Source organism: Homo sapiens, chromosome 16, assembly GCF_000001405.40.
Source record: "Homo sapiens chromosome 16, GRCh38.p14 Primary Assembly".
NCBI classification, from domain to species: Eukaryota; Metazoa; Chordata; class Mammalia; order Primates; family Hominidae; genus Homo; species Homo sapiens.
The window spans coordinates 26854713-26874620 of NC_000016.10; positions in this window are offsets into that span (position 1 = coordinate 26854713).

Sequence of the window (19908 nt, forward strand, 5' to 3'; positions counted from 1 at the left end):
AGAGACTTGGTGAGTATTTGGGCTACAGAATCTTCAGGCCCCATAGTAAATTGCATATGAAGAAGATACAGAGAAATAGACTTTTAGGTTTCAAGATTGGGTACTGTGATGGTGATATACAAAGAGATGGGAGTGAAAGAAGGGAATCTGGTTTGGAGAGAAGGCATATGAGATGTTCAACAGGTAGTGGAGAAGGATCTGGAGCTTGGGAAGGTTGGGCTAGAAATGGAATTCAGGAAATCATCATTATAGAGGTGGAGATAATAGATTAACCCAGAGAGAAGAGAAAAGGAAATGCTTGGAACACCAATATCCAAAAAGTGGCTGTAAAAATGGTGGCTCACAAGAGTCTGAGAAGGAACAACTGCAGGAGAATCACCACAGGTCAGCATCACTGGGGCCAGGGAGGCCACTGCAAGAAAGAAGGCATGGTCAATGCTATCAAAAGCTCCACGAGTTGAGCCAGAGAAGGGTCAGCTGGGTTTAGATAATAGAGGGCTATTGGTGGGATTTTCAAAGTAATTTTAAGAAGCTGATGGAATGAGGCTAGGTGGCAATAAGTTGAGGAATCAGTGGGAAGATGGAGAAGTGGAGACAGTGTCTTGGCTAATTTTAAATGGATTTTCTGTGGTGGTAAGAAGAAGAAGAAGAAGACAGTCACAGTGACTATCAATCCTGGCTGATTATAGAATCACCTGGGGGGAGGTTTCAAAACCTGTTGATTCCTGGACTTCCCACCACCACACACTGTTTTAATTGCTCTGTGATGTGGTCCAGGCCTCTGCTCTTAAAGTCTGCTGAGGTGATACTGATGTGCTTTTGAGTTTGAGGATGTTTGAGCATCAGGAACATGCACCATTGAGGAAACGTTGCTATAAAACTCTCATTCCATGGTGGGAGAGATTTCTGAGTACATTGAAGGGGTGATGGTCAATACTAGAGGCAGAGGAGAAATGTGCAGAAGAAATGCAAAACCATCGCTGGAGAAGAATCCCTGAAGGGGCGGAGAAGTGGATATCTGGGATACAGGTGGATTCACCGGACTCACTTTCCCTTCGAATTGGGAAGGAAAGCGGGAGCAGGAGGAGGATGTCGATTCTGATGCAGAAGCAAAAGAAAAAGAGGAGAACTTTCCTGCTGACCACAGTTTCTTTCAACAGAGTAGTGTTAAAAGAACAACTGCAGCCGAATTACATTGAAAGGAGTTTAATTGAGCAACGAACGATTTGTGAGTCAGGCAGCCCCCAGAATCACAGCCGATTCAGAGATACTCCCGGGATGACTTGTGGTCAGAACAAATTTATAGACAAAAAAAAAAAAGTGACGTACAGAAATCAGAAGTGAGGCACAGAAACAGCTGGACTGGTTACAGGTTGGCGCTTGCCTTATTTGAACATAGTTTGAACACTTAGCCGTCTATGAGTGGTTGAAGTATGGCCACAAGGATTGGCCAAAACTCAGCTGCTGTTACAGGTGCATACTCCTAAGTTAGGTTTTCAATCTTGTCTGACCATTAAGCTAGATTACAGTTTGTCCACAGGACTCAAATATAGAAGTACGGAGTCCTTCTCAGGCCAGTTTTAGTTTGCTTTGACAGGAGATAAATTGTGAGTTGGCTAAGAGGGAGGGGCAAATGGGAGCAGTAAGCTTGATAGGAAGAAAGGTTTGTACTCCTGCTGACTGTGCACCTACTGGAGGAGGCATCTTCCACAGAGGCTGGAAACAAGGATTTGCATGCAGATGCCCCAAGGAGGGCAGGGCCTTGCTCTGTGTTTCTCCCTGCTCTACCACCAGGGTTTAATGCAGTGCACTTGATAAATATCGAGACGAAGGCATGTGTGGTGGCACCAGTCTTCAAGATTTTTATTTCATCAGCTCCATTTGGCAGGCCAGGGATAAAAACCTAGAAGCAATTCAGTAGAGCTTGGTTTAGGGTTCAAGGATAACCTAGTAGGGCGTGGAAGATGTGGTCCTGATCACAGAGTATCAGCTTGGCCATGCAGGAGACAGCTTTTTATCTTGCAGGCAAACCGTAGACAGACAGGAGAGATAGATCTGCCCTTCCCAAAGTTCACCTGGGCTGCAAAGAGATTATTTTGGAAGGGGATGAGAGCTATTATAATCATCGAGGTGAGAGAAGGGGGGGATCAGATGATCCTAAGAGACCAGTTGGAGAGTCAGTTTCAACAAGACAAATCCCAAACCATTCTGAGGGATAACTATAAAAGTCAACATTGCCCAAACATGGGCCAGGCCGCTTCAAGGAGCAATGAGCCCCTGGCATTCAATGGGTCTCTGTTTTGGGAGGGAAGATGAGCTAAGGTACCTGCAAGTACATTTTATGAATCTGTGGCAACCAATCAACCACCCTCATGTCCCCTCTCTGCAGGAGACCTCGTGGTCTCCGGTGCATGGGAAACGCCTCTCCTCTGGCTCACCAAATTGCTCTGCTGTATTTAAAAGCCAAAGAGGAAAATAAACCCCAGCCCAAGGAGGAAGCAATGTTGGCATTAAATAAAAGGAATGTTTTTATCCTGCAATGAAAACTCTGTGATCCTGGAACACAATTTGCATAAACAGACAGTTTGGCTATAAACAACCTCACCAGTAACTGGTATTTACATATAGAACAACTCAGTCAAAACCCAATTAAAGGCTCTGATGGATTGGGGATTGTCAAAACATTTAAAAGACTTCACAGCCACCTGGCGATTTATACGCCTCGGTTGGGCCAGGAGTTCCTGATTTCTCCTCCCATCTGCCCTTTCCTTTGCTCCCAGCCTCCTGCAAGACCCCATGGCCCCCGCCCACCCCCCAGTCTGGCAGCCTGGCCTCCAGTCAGTGGGAGATGTCTCTGAGAGAGCCCACTGGCCTTGGGACCTTGGGGAAGACCTAGTGGGGTTAGAAAACAGGGTCCAGGCTGTGGTCCCTGGCTTGCATGTAGAAAACAGGAACAAGAACTCTATGTAGAGTGTGGGCATATGACACCATCAAGAGGCTCAGCCCAGGCAATGCAGGACTTCAGAAGAATCCCAGCAATAATGATGCCTACAGTCAGGCCATCTGTATTACTGTGGTTCCAGGTTCAACCCTTGTAAGCAAGTGGTTGAAGAGCAAGACAGGATGTCAAGATCCCCTCATCCGTGCAGAAGAGATGACTCTTGGTCAGGGATAAAAACTAAGCCAACAGGTTGGGAATACCAGGCATGACTTTAATTGGGTTGTGGGGGAGTGTTATGCTGAACCCCTATCAACTCCAAAGGGGATGGCACCAAGTTCAAGAGGCTGAACAAGAGACCCAGAGCCAGCAAATGAGACATGGGGTTTTATTGAGGGCTTACAGGGCAGAGAGAGCAGTGAGCTGGGCAGAAGATCTGCAACTGCTTGCACAAAGCACATGGTTTATAGAGCATTTCCACTTAGCAGCCTCCCCCAACAACCTCTACCTGGCAACCTTTGCTTAACCCAAAACAATGGGCTCAATTCCCTATATCTGCCATCTGGCCCATGTTCCATGGGACAGGCTAGGGACTCAGAAGTTCCACACAGAGAAGGAATGAATCCCCTGCTTGGCCACTCCCAGATTCCTTATTGTAAACTGCATCCTGGTGCATTTGCCACAGAGGATCACTCTGAGAGTATATGCAAGTTATTGCTCCCAGGTGCCTTTACCATATAGGGAGAATTCATAAGGCAACAGGTTCACCCCAGGGCGGGATGGAGACTGCCAGCCCTTAGGCAATACAATTACCAGGCCTGAGGCTTCCAAAGTGCTCCCACACTGGGCACAATGGGATCAATCAGCTGAGTCTTTGGGAAACTCCAGGTCAGAGGAGCCGGGGGAGTCCAGCGTTGACAGAGCGGAGGCCAGTATCCTGGTGCTAGAAAGGGCTGCAGTAACCACTCTGTTCCTGATGCTCCCTAGGGAAGGATCCTCAACAAGTGTCTTATTTTATTTTATTTTTTCCAAGCAAATGCTTTATTTGCATAGGGACCTGAACCTAGTCCCAAGTCAACACATATAAATGTTCCGCTTTTTTTGGACTGATATTGTGACAACTTCTCCGTTGACTTTGCCATTCGAGTAACATTTTGATCTTTCATGCCCCAATTCACATGAAAATTGTTGGATCCTGTTTCCAAGCTGGGGGGATCCTCTCCCCTCACACTGTCTGGGAAATGTGCTTCCATAAAAAGAAGCTGTACCTGGTGCCCTCATGGCCAAGCAGCACAGAGCAAGCTTTGAAGCACAGATAGAAAGAAGGAAAACAGAGGGGGAGGAAAGAAAAAAGAAAAGAGAGAGAAAGAATGGAAGAAAGGAAGGAAGGGAGGGAAGGAGGAAGAAAAGCAAGAGAAGTGAGGGAAGGGAAAAGAGAAGGAGGAAAAGAAAGCTGCGCAGAAATAGTATGCTAGAAAAGAAGAAAGGACGGTAGGGAGGGTAGGTCCCAGGGTTTCCCAGGAGTGACACCCCAGGACCCCACTGAGGCCTCAGAAAGATTGCAATGAGAGATGACTGGCTGCTGCCCTGGGTGTGGGGAGTGGGAGTTGCAGCAGATGGGCTGCTCTTTGCCACTCCAGAACAAACCAATCTGTCTTGCTGCTGTATAGAATATACTCTACAAACAATTTAAAAATTAGCCAGGCGTGATGGTGTGTGCCTGTAGTCCCAGCTGCTCAGGAGGCTGAGGTGGGAGGATAGCTTGACCCCAGGAGTTTCAGGATGCAGTCCGCCAATATCATGCCACTGCACTCCCATGGACTACTGGGCCTGTCATTCTCAAAAAAAAATTTTTTTTTTTTGAGATGGTGTCTCGCTCTGTCGCCAAGGCTGGAGTGCAGTGGCACGATCTCAGCTCACGGCAAGTTCCGCCTCCCAGGTTCACGCCATTCTCCTGCCTCAGCCTCGCGAGTAGCTGGGACTACAGGCATCCACCACCAAGCCTGGCTAATTTTTTGTATTTTTTTTAGTAGAAACGGGGTTTCACCGTGTTAGACAGGATGGTCTCCATCTCCTGACCTTGTGATCTGCCCGTCTCGGCCTCCCAAAGTGCTGGGATTACAGGAGTGAGCCACCGCGCCCGGCCTCTCAAGATTTTTAAAACCGAGTGAGTACCATTATGCACCAGGCACTATGCTAAGCACTTTATTATGTGTGATCCCTTACACTGATACAGTCACCATGACCTCATTCACACCCATTCGTAGGAAGAAGGACCTGATACAGCAAAACAAATATCATGACCTCAAGGTGGCTTGGTGAGCTGCAACGGTCACTGCAGAAGTACTGTGTTTATACGGCAATAAAACATAATCCCTAACAATTAAGCACTTGCTACATACCCAGCACAATGCAGGGTGCCTTGATTCACTTGATTTTCTAAATTCAAAATATGCCTGAGAAAAACACCATCTCCATTTTACAGTGAGGAAACGGGCTCAGAGAGTTGAAGACAGTGTTTGAGTTGACATGGCTGGAACGTAGTGGAACCAGGAGTCTGTGTGAACACAAAGCCTGCTACATCAGGGCAGGTGCTTCCGGTTTTTCACTATGGGCCATCACATTTTAAAATGTCCTGCCTCAACTGTTGACATCCTAGTTTGGAAAACTAAGCTGACTTCTCCCTACCATATTCCCAGTAAGTTGCTGCCTCAATACTGTTACCAAAATGCCAGGGGTTCTGTGCACAGGAGGCCAGTCACTGGGACAATGAATATTGCCAGGGAAGGCTTTATTCCAGAGTTACAGTGAAGGAGAATGGAAGATCAGTTTCAAATCTGTCTCCCCAACCGACTAAAATTAGGGGTTTATACAGCAGGGAGGAAATGTAACTATGTGTGGGAAAACAGGAATGAGGGAGGGGTAAGGAAGAGGAGGTGGTCCACAGGCATTAGGTAGAGGTGAGGAAGAGGAGGTGGTCAACAGGAATGAGGGAGGGGTAAGAGGGGATGATCAACAGGCATTAGGGAGGGGTAAGGAAGCAATTGTGATGGGTGAGGAGTCTGACATCTCATTGTCCAGATGTGGTGACCTGGTGAGTTTTCATCCCTTGATACTGACTGGGAGGCCTGAGGGTTGGTTTCCTGAGAAAGGAACTCAGATAAGACAAATGTAAGTTTCTCAAGTTTCAAGACTGGGATGATCAATTTCTATATTTATGTCGAAACCATAAACATCATTTCTGTGAGACAATTGGACTGGTTTCAATACTGCCTGTCCTCCTTACTCTTGCATCCTAAACAAATCTACTACAGGTTTTAAATCCCCAAACCACCCACCCAGGCAAAACACGTGGCCCAGAAGATCAAGGATATTGAAGGAAGAAATGTAGATACTCAGACATCTCTTTCTTTCTTCATGTGGGTTCAAATTCTTTGTTACTCAGTGTTGAAAGTCAAACAATTCAACCTTCTATTGCCAGCATTTACTCAACCTCTGGTCCTGCTGAATTCTCTGAGCTCTTCTCCTACATGCCCCACCTTCCATGCTCCAACTGTATCCAACATCTACTTATTCTCTCCAAACCTGCAAACCACATGTGCTTCTCCACCTTTCCTGGGGCCATTCCCTTGGCCAGGTATGCACATTCCTCCCCTTGTCAATGTGATGAACTCCTATGTGTTCCTCAAAATAAGCTCAAGTGCCCCTTCTCCTTTATTAAAACCTTCCAAGATATCCTTAGAGTCGTTTCTATTTACTCCATCTCTGTTACATACATCTTGCTAACAGCCCTATTTACAACTTAGCACATTGTACTAGAATGAGTTATTTGTACAAATATATCCTCCCGTGAATGGAGTTCCTTGAGGGTGAGGTGCCTAATTCATCTTCACGGCCTTGCTTCAAGGTCTTGCACATAGTAGGTGTTCGACAAATGTTCCATGAATGAGTAAATGAATGGGCTTTAACAAAGTCAAGACTCCTAGAAGGTCAAGCCAGTGGATCAAACCAGGACTTCCACCCACTTGTGGATCTCATTGCCATGTCTTAAGTGGTTCCTGGGGACACTTTGTCATTTCCTAGATTTAACATAGTCTCTTATTTCAGGTCTTTTTCCTCTTTTTCTGAGTTTTCTCCACCACTGCTTTTTTGCATCCTGACGCAGGATGTCTCAGTGGATAGACAAGGTCTGTGGAGTCCAACAGAACTTACTAGACCAAGTCTGACACTGGCTTCCTGCATGATCTTGTACAAGTAATCTGCAACTTCCCGAGTAGTGAAATACAGACAGCTGATCTAGCCCTGCAAAGCTGTAGTGTGATGAGTTAACATACATTTGTACACCAAGTTCCAAATTGCTTAGGACATCTTGATGAAGTTCCTTTCACCAAGGTCCCTGAAGGCAAAAGACCCTTAAAATCCATCTAATCTGGGCTGAGCATGGTGACTCATGCCTGTAATCCCAGAACTTTGGAAGGCCAAGGCTGCTTGAGCCCAGGAGTTTGAGGCCAGCCTGGGCAACACAGCAAGACCCCATCTCTACAAAAAAATTTTAAAATTAGCCAGGTGTGGTGTTGTGTGCCTGTAATCCCAGCTTCTCAGGAGGCTGAGGTGGGAGGATAGCTTGAGCCCAGGAGTTTGAGGCTGCAGTCAGCCAATATCACACCACTGCACTCCAGCTTGGGTGACAAAGCAAGACCCTGTCTCCAAAAAAAAAAAAAAAAAGAAAAGAAAAAATCAAATCTAAATCTAATCTAATCTGCAACCATCTGCTGCTTCCATTTGATACCTGGGACAGGTGGTGTTCAGCCTCTCTGGAATATCCCAGCAATGGGGAATCATAACAAAAGTAACCATAGTAACAGCAACATGTTTACAGACCTTTTCATTTATAAAGTACTTTTGTAATTTCTGATTCTTACCAAGAAAGGAGAGCTATAAATTAACGTCCCCTAGTGAGGAGGTTCACTTCGTGCCTAGGGTCACTCAGGGATGAGCTGAGCTGAGCTATGGATCCAGACTTAGTCCGAGGCCACATGCCTTGAACCCTGGCTTCCAGGAGACTTGCAGGGGATGGGAATCTATTCTTTGCTGTGCCTTTTTCTCATGTTTCTCCCTCACAGCATACACAGTGGGAAGATGACAGAATTTCAGATCCAAAAAGCCATCACAGTCATCATTCTCTCTCTTTCCACCACTCAAGTGGAATGACTGTATTGATCAAGATTCTTTTGGTTGTAAGTAACAGAAAGCGCCACTCAAAATGATGTAAGAAAATAACAATAATAACAACAATAACGGTATTAATAGTAACAGTAATAGAGGCTTTTTCTGTTTCATGTAGCTGAAAAGTACAGGGTAGGAATGATTAGGGGTCCAGGCCTAGATAATGTTGTCACATCTCAGCCTCTCTCTTCTCAATTCTCTTTTCCTCTTCATTGGCATCAGTTTTAGCCAGCCCCACCCTTAATGTTGTAATAGCCTGGGCTTACACACATTTCAGCCCTCACAGACACAAGCACCATTAAAGAAAGAGCTGCTCTTCCCCAGTCATTCTAAACAAAGCCCTGTGCTGAGTGAGGGGCATCACCCTGGCCTGGATCAGGAAGAGGGTCCCTACATAAAAAGTGATGGTGATTGGAGGTATTTTAGTTAAATACACCCACCAGCCACACCTGGTTCCTATACCTACCTCTGAACCTGGGGGCATATTCAACCTGATCTCAAGTGTGTGAACTAAAAATGGAGGATGGGTGATATTCCGAGAAGAAAATCTGGCTGCCATGGAGGAAGAGATGCTGGATAAGCAAGATGAGCAAATACCACAGATGTCCTCTTCAATGACTTTTTGGAGCTTCTATTTATATATAGAAACACTATAGCATTAAAAATACCTATCCCCATGCTGGGCATGGTGGCTCACATCTGTAATCACATCTGTAATTTGGCAAGTGATGCCAAAGATGAGGATCACTTGTGCCCAGGAGTTTGAGGCCAGCCAGAAAATATTTAAAAATTAGCCAAGTATGGTGATGCATGCCTGGAGTCTCAGCTACTCAGGAGGCTGAAGTGGGAGGATTGCTTGAGCCCAGGAGTTAGAGGCTGCAGTGAGCTATGATCATGCCACTGCACTCCAGTCTGGGTGACAGAGCAAGACCCTTTCTCAAAAACAAAAAAAGAACCCCTACCCCTCAGAATTGCATCAGATTGGAAACAGGCAAAAAGGATTGCACAGATCCTATTATTGCTATTACAGGTGCTGTGGTTTTCACCTCTTTAAAGGACTCTGTCCCCTGAATCCATGCCACTGCCTCGTGATGGTTCAGGATATGATCACTCACCTACATTGTTTCAACAGCAGCTTCATGGGGCTTCAATCCCCCTAGCTCTCCCTGCTGGGTGGCACCCCTTCAGCGCCTTGCAGCCAGATTAATCTTCCATTTCAGCAGAGTTCAGGGAGCTACAGAGCCCAGTGGTGTTTAACTTGGCTCGCACTCAACCCCATGAATTTAAAGGCCATCTGAGCTGAACTATTCATCTGTTTCTTCTTGACTCCCCCACAGTGAGTACATATACACACCCTCCTTTCAATACACAGCCATCTGAGCTGCTTGCATATTTCTTTCTCAGGAAAGCTCAGAGGGAAAAAGGAAAAAAACTCTATATATATAGATATAAAACCTGAGAATTTGGAACCCTCATTCTATTATCTTATAAAACATCATGTTCATATCATAATTTCAATCCAGAGAAAGGATTTGCTGTGTGAGCTCTGAGATGCATACAAATTGCCCTTCTAAACCTCTGGCTACAATAAGCAAACTTCAGAAGCCAACAGTTTACTTGATAAATACCTAATAAAGCTTAAATAATTATTGAAAGCAGACAAATGGAACAGTGGAACAGCAAGAAATGTTGTGGGGATAAATCACAGGGAAGAAGACAGAGTCCCAGACACTCAGAGGAAAGCAGATCCAGGGAGGGAAAGAGAATCAGAGGCAGGAACTTGGGCCCTAGAGAGAGTCATCCTGGAGAGACTGCCTGGGGATGCCAAGAGATGTACAAGATGGGCTTTGGTGGGGGTTGGGGGAGAACCATTCAATACTCATGTTTAACCTTTCTTGGCTCTTCTGGAAGAAAGAGAGTCGAGGGAGAAAATAATCCACTTTGTCATCTGTCTCTGACTACCCAGCTGTGGAGGGACCTCAGAGATTCAGATATCATACCCAATTAATACCCCAGATATCACACCCCACTTATACCCCAGATATCACACCCCACTTACAAGCTCTACCTCCCGAATCCAATTTTGAGTTTGGAAGAATTGAAATCTTTCTAGGGCACCATTCCATGGACTTGACCCAGAGTCAAGTTCCCTGTTGGACTTCAAGAAGTTATCCCAAACTCTTCATTCATTCACTTATTCATTCACTCATTCAACAAACATTACGTGCCAACTACATGCTATAAACAACAAGCTTTCAGTCTAACCAAGGATGAGTGTGGAGGCATACAATTAAACAAACAATGGTATATGCTGAAAATAGAAGGTTGGGGAGTTCATAGAGTTTATTCTGGTCTGGGAAAGTGTGCATTGGAAAGGCTTCCCACAGAAAACAGCACTTGCACTGAGATCTGCAGTATAAATGGGAGTGGGGGAGAGGTGTTTGGGGCAGCAGGAATAGCAAGTGCAAAGTCCCTGGGGTGTAAGAGGATTTGTTGAGAGAAATCCTGAGCCCTGAGCTCCCACACTGATGCTGACGTGTGGCAACTCCCACTCTCTTAGTGACCTCCCCACAGGAAGAATTTCTGATTCCGAAATTTCTGAGTCCATTACTGATAAGTAGTCATTTACCAAGGTGGATTTCCTGGTGCCCATTTTAGAGATGAGAACACTGAGCCACAGAACTGCGAGGACTGCTTGTTGCCTATAGAGTCATAGATTGTCCTTCTGCTTTGGACCCTGTCCTCCAAACTCCCAGACCTATCTTTGCCTCTCACTGCTTCTCTGCTCCAGCCTGGTGAACTTCCCTAATTATTCAGCATATTTCTAGGAAAAGAAGCATACCTGTCCTGCCATATTTCCAGCTGGGAACCAGAACTCTCCTGGAGTCCCCAGCGATTGCATTCCCAGCAACCAAATGCTTCTCTAATGTCTCTCTGAGTGTTCCGCTATCACTAAATACACACACACACACACACACACACACACACACACACACACATCACAGACAGAGACCATTGGCCTAGACTTCTACTGGCCTTCCACGTTGTACATGGGACTTTCCCCCTCTCTCCTGCCCCCCTGATGTCAACCTCTACAGCTGCATCCACCTTCACAGCTTTATCTCCTAGAGGTGGGAAGAAGGTGCAATCAGAGGTGAGCCTGAAGATAGGATAGACATTCTGCCTCAGAAATACAGAAACTACTTGGGCCCTTATTTATCCATTCTCAAAGTGTGTTAAATAAGCCAACAATACTGTGTGGTGCCACAGTGTTCTTCTCTCCTATAAAACGTACACAGTTCTGACACACCCTGCCTACTGAAAAAGTTCTAAATACTTTACATACCCACACATTTGGGTAACAATTTACAAAGTATGTTTTGAACATCATCACCAGGGTAATATAGAAGACGTTACAATTGGCATTGTCCTGGTCCCAGTGGACAGTCTGGTTTGACATAAGCTTGGCAAGGGCTTTGGTCACAATGCAAGATTGAAGCACTCTCATCTACCCTGGACAGGAGTCTAGAGAGCCTCTCCCAAGCACATACCTAAGGCAAAAGACTGGTTGCAAGGCTGCCCTGGGGAAGAGCAGCCTTTCCTCCTCTTCCTCATCCTCCTCGTCCTCTTCTTCCTCTATATTACCTTCTTTGTTTACTGAGGCTCAATAGGTCTTATTCATTCTGAACCTGTCCCAGGAGGTCTTATTCAGTCTGAACAAGGCTGAGCTTCCCAGTAAGGCCCACAGATTCCAGCAGTGGGTAGAAAGAAACCAAGGATGCATCTGTTCTGCAAACAAAGATGAATGGTGTAAATGCCTCCATTTGCCCCTCTGACAAAGAGTGACAATAAAACAAAGGACAAGGTTAAATGTTTCAGAAGTTACCAGATTCTACCGACCTTCGTCTTTTACAAATAAATTTTGCACAAAAGAGGTGCCGATGCCCCCCGGACCCCCCAACCCCCGCAACATTTGACCCTTTAGAAAGTGCATCTGATGTCATTTCACAAACCCCAGACTCTACCTACAATGAGAACAGTCTCAGCACAAAGAAAGTTTGGGCAGTGCCTGTCAGCAATGTGTGGGCTGCAGACACACAAAACATGCATCCGATGAATATTATCCAGAATGTATTAGCTGATAACACATGAGCCCCAGAATCAATGAGGGAATTATCTCCTCCACACAATGGGCGCCAAAGAAGGAAGTTTTCAATGTCCCTCCAACACAGCCCAGCTATGTCAACCCTGGCATGCGAGACGATTAATGCACAAGTGACTGCACATCCAGATTCCCATTCCTACGATTATGAGCACGGACCATTTTTTCCCCTTTATGGATCCTCAGCACTTAACGTACTCAATGGTTTTTATTTGCATTGATCACATTTTATGGTATGATTAAATTTGTATGGAAGAGAACCAATTAGTTTTGTTTTACACTTATTGAATGCACTTTATAGTCAGAAAAATTAACTCTCCACAGTTAGGTTAATTTATCCAGTGGCGGAGGTTTGAAGGGCCATGCAGGGTCTCATCCCCAGCTGGGAAGAGGTGGTCATGGGGGAGAGGGTCTGGAGGAGTGGATGCCTCTGAGAAAGCGACATAGTGAACTGACTGACTACCCAGGAGATCACTGTGGAAGTGGTGGGGTTTCTCTAGGAGAGTGAGCACAAGGCTTTTTGCTCCATGTAAATTTCAGGAGCCCATCAGGGCTTTGTCTGAAGAGGAAATATTTTCTCCTACAGAATGGAAAAAGCAATGGAGTAGAATTCAGTTCCTAGCACACTCCCTGCCCCAACTCTTTCACTATCCTGCTGTGAGATTGGTACAACCATTTAACTTCTTTGAGCCTCAGTAAACAAAGATGGTAATATGGAGGAGGAAGAGGAGGAAGAGGAAGAAGAAGAGGAGGAAGAGGAACAGAAGGAGGAGGAGGAAAAGGAGGAGGAGGAGGATACTCTCACCATGCGTTTTCTCTGTGACCCCAGAATACTCTCAGCATGTGAAAGGCTGGCTTCCCATTGCCTTTTGCCATGATTGGACGCTTCCTGAGGCCTCAGCGGAAGCAGATGCCAGCACCATGCCTCCTGTAAAGCCGGCAGAACCATGAGCCAACCATGAAGAAGAAGAGGAGGAAGAGAAAGAAGAGGAGGAGGAGGAGGTTAAGTTACCCACATAACTTGCTGTGAGGGTCAAATGTGAGAGGACCGGTGAAAATAATTTATAAACTTTAAAGCATCACTTTTATGCTAGTCTTCCTTTAAATCAAAAATAGAAGCAGCATAACATTGTATCACACAAAAGAAACTTGGAATCAAAAGACCTAAGTTTGAATCTCTATGGCCTCCTGGCTGTGTGACACTGTGGAAGTTACTTAAGTTGCCTCGTCTGTAGAGTGGGGATAATTATCCCAGGTTCTTATGAAACAGTTCAGACAGCAGTGTTTTCCTGACTGCCCTAGTAGATGACGGCTCCTTTATCCTCCATCCTTTCCTCAGCTTCATGTTTCTCCATAGCTCCCGTGTTATTTCACTAGGGCTACTATAACAAAATACCGTAGGCAGAGTGGTTTCAACAACAGAAATTTATTTCCTGCAGTTCTGGAGGCTGGAATCAAAGCTCAAGGTGTCAGCTGGTTTAGTTTCTTCTGAGGCCTCTCTCCAGGACTTGCAGATGGCCATCTTCTCTCGGTGCTTCACACGGTCTTTCCTCGGGGCTTATGAATATGTGAGGTCTCTCCTTGGTGTGTCCAAATTTTATTTTCTTATAAGGACAACAGTCTAATTAGATTAGGGTCCATCCTAATTGCCTCATTTTGTTACAGGAAAGGGGTCCCGATGCAGACCCCAAGAGAGGGTCCTTAGATCTTGCACAAGAAAGAATTCAGGACAAGTCCACGGTGCAAAGCAAAAGCAAGTTTATTAAGAAAATAAAGTAGTGAAAGAACAGCTACTCCCTAGACAGAGGAGGGAGTTCCTGAAAGTAAGAGAAGGGGTGCATCCACCCTAGGTACAATACTTGTTTATATATAGGATAAAAAAGATCATGGGGAGATGTGCTCTGCTACAAGGGTTTGTGACAAAGGTTTAATTTTCTTAATTACTATATTTTGCATGAATCAATATTATTATCTTTAAAGCAAAATTAAGAATGTGCCTGTTCTCAAAATATCAGGATATCAGGACACTCCCAAGTGTGAGTCCATTTACTAAACTTTATCAATCTGTTCCCTTAACCGTAAACATCTAGAGGCTAAGAATACCTAATTTTCTGCCAGGCGCAGTGGCTCATGCCTGTAATCTCAGCACTTTGGGAGGCCAAGGCGGGCGGATCAGTAGGCCAGGAGTTCGAGACCAGCCTGGCCAACATGGTGAAACCTCGCCTCTACTAAAAATACAAAAATTAGCTGGGCATGGTGGCACTCACCTGTAATCTCAGCTACCCAGGAGGCTGAGGCAGGAGAATTGCTTGAACCCGGGAGGAGGAGGTTGCAGTGAGCTGAGATCACACCACTGCGCTCCAGCCAGGGAGACAGAGTGAGACTCCTCTAAAAAAATAAAAAAAAAAAAGAATACCTAACTTTCTGGGAATGCAGCCCCACAAGTCCCAGTCTCATTTTCCTAGCCCTCACTCAAGATGGAGTCGCTCTGGTTCGAACGCCTCTGACAATTTGAACATAATCACCTCTCCAAAGTTCCTGTCTTCAAATACAGTCACATTCTGAGGTACTAGGGGTTAGGGCTTAAACATATGAATTTTCGGGAAGATGCAACTCAGTCCATAAGACCACCTCACATGATAATGACATTTATCTGCAATCATACAGTCTGTCAGAGACTTTGCTTTCTTCACCACATATGCCTAACACTTAAAACAATACCTGGTACATAATAGATGCTCAATAAACATTTGTTGAATGACTTTAATGAACAGTGCTTGATATGGTGACAGTTTCAACATATCCTGATTCCAGTATGAAGACATCTAGCAACAGGCGGTCTGCCACTGATCATCTCGAAAGGCCCCTCTAATCGTTGCCCCAGGATGAGCTTCTGATGCGTTTTCCCTGAGACCTCAAAATTCAGAGAAAGCCCAGAATTTGATTCTGTAATGCTTTAATTCCTAGAGTCATAAAAACCTTAAGCCTTAGGGTTGGAAGGCAACTTAGCAGCATCACTGGATTCAAGTTACAAAGCAGTGAAGGAGACTTTTTTTTTTTTTTTGAGACAAATTTTCGCTCTTGTTGCCCAGGCTGGAGTGCAGTGGCGCGATCTCGGCTCACTGCAACCTCCACCTCCCAGGTTCAAGTGATTCTCCTGCCTCAGCCTCCCGAGTAGCTGGGATTACAGGTGCCCATCACCATGTGCCCAGCTAATTTTTTTGTATTTTTAGTAGAGATGGGGTTTCACCATGTTGGCCAGGCTGGTCTCTAACTCCTGACCTCAGGTGATCCACCTGCTCCCAAAGTGCCTCCCAAAGTGCTGGGATTACAGGCGTAAGCCACCGCACCCGGCCGGGAGACTTCTTTATGGCATTTCTTGATAACCTCACCATGAACAATTCCGGGGACTAGAATCCCTTTACCTCTGGAAGCAGCCAGTTCTATGGCTGGAGGGCTCTGACTATTTAAGCATGTTCTTTTGTGTACACAACAAAGCATAAACAACAGTGTTCTTTTTGGAGCTTGATATGGTTTGGATGCTTGTCCCCTGCAAATCTAATGTTGAAATGTTAGGTGAGGCCTGTTAAGAGGTATTGGATCATGGGGGCAGACCTCTCATGACTGCCTTACCACCATCCCTTTGGTGATGAGTGAGTTTTGGCTTAGTTAGTTCACGCAAGATCTTGTTGTTTAAAAGAGTACGGGACCTCCCCCTTCACTCTCTCGTGCTCCCTCTCTCGCCAGGTGACACACCAGCTTCCCCATCACCTTCCATGATTGGCAGCTTTCTGGGGCCCTCACCAGAAGCAGATGCCAGCACCATGCTTCCTGTGTAACCTGCAGAACCATGAACCAACATAAACCACTGTTCTTTATAAATTACCCAGCTTCAGGTATTTATTTATAGCAAGGCAAAAACAGACTAACACAGAACTGGTTTGTAGTAGTGAAAAATGGAAACAACTATCTCTAAGTAGGCAAATGGAGAGTAAACTGGCTTACCATATGGTAGCGTAGTTTTTGTCAATTCAAATGAATTCATTAGATCTACATGCAACTAAATAAATGCCTCAGAAAGCGTAATATTGATATATACAATATAATACTATGCACGCATACATATATTTATTTATGTATTTCATATATACATACATATTCATTTTTAAATGCTATCTATTGTGTGTGGTAAAAGTACAAAAACATATATATCGGCCTTAGAGTAAGCTTGCCTCTGAGAAAAGAGGGGGAGAGGGGTAAAGGAGGGCAGTCTTCAACTCTATCTGTAACATTTCTTTCCTTAACAAAGACATTCAGAGCGAATACGGCAAGTGTCAACCCCTGTTGCACCTTGAGGGTAGGTACATAGTTAAATGTTATTTTATTTTCTGAACTTCTCCCACACTGGAAGAATGTCTTAATTTTTTTTTTTTCATGTGTTTCAGTGAACAGGGGAATGAATGTGTCATCTTTAGCTGAACTCACATTAGGCCACTGGCCCTAGCTGGAGCCAAATGAAACAGGTTTTCTTCCTCTTTTAAGCCATATCATGGTCTTCTTAGGCAAGGCGGAGATCCCAAGGCTTGTACTATCAATATATAAGGGCCAATATTTTGGCTGAATTGCAGACTTTTACTTATTGAGTCATTCAAGATTTGTAGCCTGCTGCAGTATGAATATTAATATTCTTCTCCTCCAAGCTCATTGTCTAGTGAGAGAAACAGATACATAACCAGATAACTACAGTACAACGTCCGAACTGGAGAGCTTGCACAAAGAGCTTTACATTAGAGGAAGATATGACTAATCTACCTTAGGAGGAAGTGGGGTAGGAGGTAGAAACAGCTCAGCTAGAAAGAGAACCCCTAGGTGAGCTTTTAGGAATGACTAAGGCATTTCCCGGAGGATAAGGCGGGGAAAGGCTCCCAGGCAGAGGCAGGTGACATGAAAAGGAGTGGATCCTTTGGCAAATACAAGGATGTTTTGAATGGCTGTAGCAGGAGCCATGTAATGGGAATATTAGGAGGATGTCACCAGATGATCTTCTAAGGCACTAATGAGTCAGTGGGCTAACTCCTTATTGCTCATGTTGATGTCTTTACACGTGACTACAGTAACATGTGTTCCCTATGCCATTTCTTGTAAGACTTATTAATAGAAAATGTTGTAAATAGGTGGGTATAAAAGCAGCTGGGGGCTGGGTTTATGAATGTATTGAACTTTCCAAACACAACTGTTCCTTAAACTCAGTGAAATCACAACTCACTTGCCTGTGTCATTGGAGTTGCCAATATCTGTTTCCTTATGCAACGAGTGATATCTATGTTTCCTTTTGTGCATAAAATTGTGTTTTTGTGTGCTCTGATCCTTTTTTAAGACTTTACAGGATCCAACAGGGAAACAAACAGAAAATAAATTAGGAGAGACAGGAAGGACTGTATAATAAAAAGCTGTGGACACAAGGCTAAAAACTTGGGGTTTCTACTGTAGGCGTCAGTGAAGTTTCTCTGAACAGGAGAGAGAGTGGGCATAGTTAATCTTTACTGTTTGAATTATTGCTTTGGAAGCAATGTGGAATGAGATCCAGGGGTAGGAAGACCATTGAAGCAGCATTAAAGATAAAGTAGATTACTGATAGGCTTCGGGCAGTACAAGTGGATTATTTAGACTAGGGATAACTCATCTAATGAACAAGCCCTTGGACTGCAGTGGCATAGCACAGCAAAGGTGTATGCTTTGCTCAGTCCAATACAGTTGCTCCTGGCTGTGTATCAATGCCTTGTGCCTGTTTAGGAACCCGGGCTCTTTCCATGTTGTGGCTCTGCCGTCTGCAGTGCTTGCCTCCCAGTTGCACTGTGCACATCTGCTTGAAGCTGGCACACAGGGAAAGAGCATGGGCCAAAAGGTACCAGGCAGTGTCATGGGCCGGGTCTGGAAGAGGCTCTGCTCCCATTCTATTGGAGAAAACTTCGTCATACAGCCACACACGCAAGGGAGGCTGAGAAATGGAGTCTGGTTGTATTTTCAGGAAGGAAAAAAAATGGGTTTGGTAAACAGTTTTTCAGTCTCTGCCACAGTTTTTTGTTTTTTGTTTTTTTTGAGATGGAGTTTCTCTCTTGTTGCCCAGGCTGGAGTGCAATGGCACGATCTCAGCTCACTGCAACCTCTGCCTCCAAGGTTCAAGTGATTCTCCTGCCTCAGCCTCTGGAGTAGCTGGGATTACAGGCACGCGTTACCATGCCTGGCTAATTTTTGTATTTTTAGTAGAGACAGGGTTTCACCATGTTGTCCAGGCTGGTCTTGAACTCCTGACCTCAGGTGATCTGCCCGCCTCGGCCTCCCAAAGTGCTGAGATTACAGGCGTGAGCCACCATGCCTGGCCCTCTGCCACAGTTCTAAACAGTCAGGGCCACATAGGAGGCTGTTCCTTTTTATTATTTATTTATTTATTTATTTATTTATTTATTTATTTTAGAGATAGGGTCTCGCCATGCTGCTCAGGCTGGTCTCAAACTCCTGGCCTCAAGTGATCCTCCCACCTCAGCCTCCTGAGTAGCTGGGATTACAGATGTGAGCTACCACACATGGATGGAAGGTGTTTTTAAAACTATTGAGGGCAGTCACAAGCCCTTTGGATGGATGGAGTTGTCTGCCCGTGGTCAGAAATTCCCAACAAATAAGTTGGACCTTCTCCAGGAAGTGAATTCAGAGGCTACTGCACAGGAAATCTAAAAGGCACCCCCTTACCCAGCACAGTCTCCCAAGAGGAGAGAAACAGCAGCAGAGAGCTGGGAGGGAGCCGATCTGAAGGGTGGGACACAGAGACAAAAGTCTGGCCTGTTACTCAGAGGAGAGGCCCGGAGAGGAGGTGCCCGGCATGTGGATCTGGTCCAAAAATGTGGCAGGTCACACAGACCTGCCACCTTCTTGGACCTGCCAGATTCGGGGAGCTGGAGAAACACAGATGCTAAAGAGCAAAAAGAGACTGAGGATCAAAGGCTGGAAAGTATCCAGTACTTGATCTAAATGGTAAAAGTTTTCAAGACAAGAAAACTGCACTTACCAAGGCTAAACCCTCAGTGACCAAGAAGCATTGCTTGCTTGCTTGTTAATGATAACTAGCATATATTGAGCACTTACAATGTTACAGGCACAGATCTAAGCACTGACAGGTATTATGTCATTTGATTTTCACAATAACTCCAGGAAGTAGACCCTATGATAAATGCTACCTGAGAAATGAGAGAAAGAAGACATTAAAAGTGACTAAACAGGGCCAGGAGTGGTGGCTCACGCCTGTAATCCCAGCACTTTGGAAGGCTGAGGCAGGCGGATCACTTGAGGTCAAGAGTTCAAGACCAGCCAGGCCAACATGGTGAAACCCCATCTCTACTAAAAATACTAAAATTAGCTCGGTGTGGTGGTGAGTGCCTGTAGTCCCAGCTGCTCAGGAGGCTGAGACAGGAGAATTGCTGGAACTGGGGAGGTGGAGGTTGCAGTGAGCAAAGATCACGCCACTGCACTCCAGCCTGGTTGACACAGCGAGACTCTGTCTCAAAAAAAAAAAAAAAAGTGACTAAAC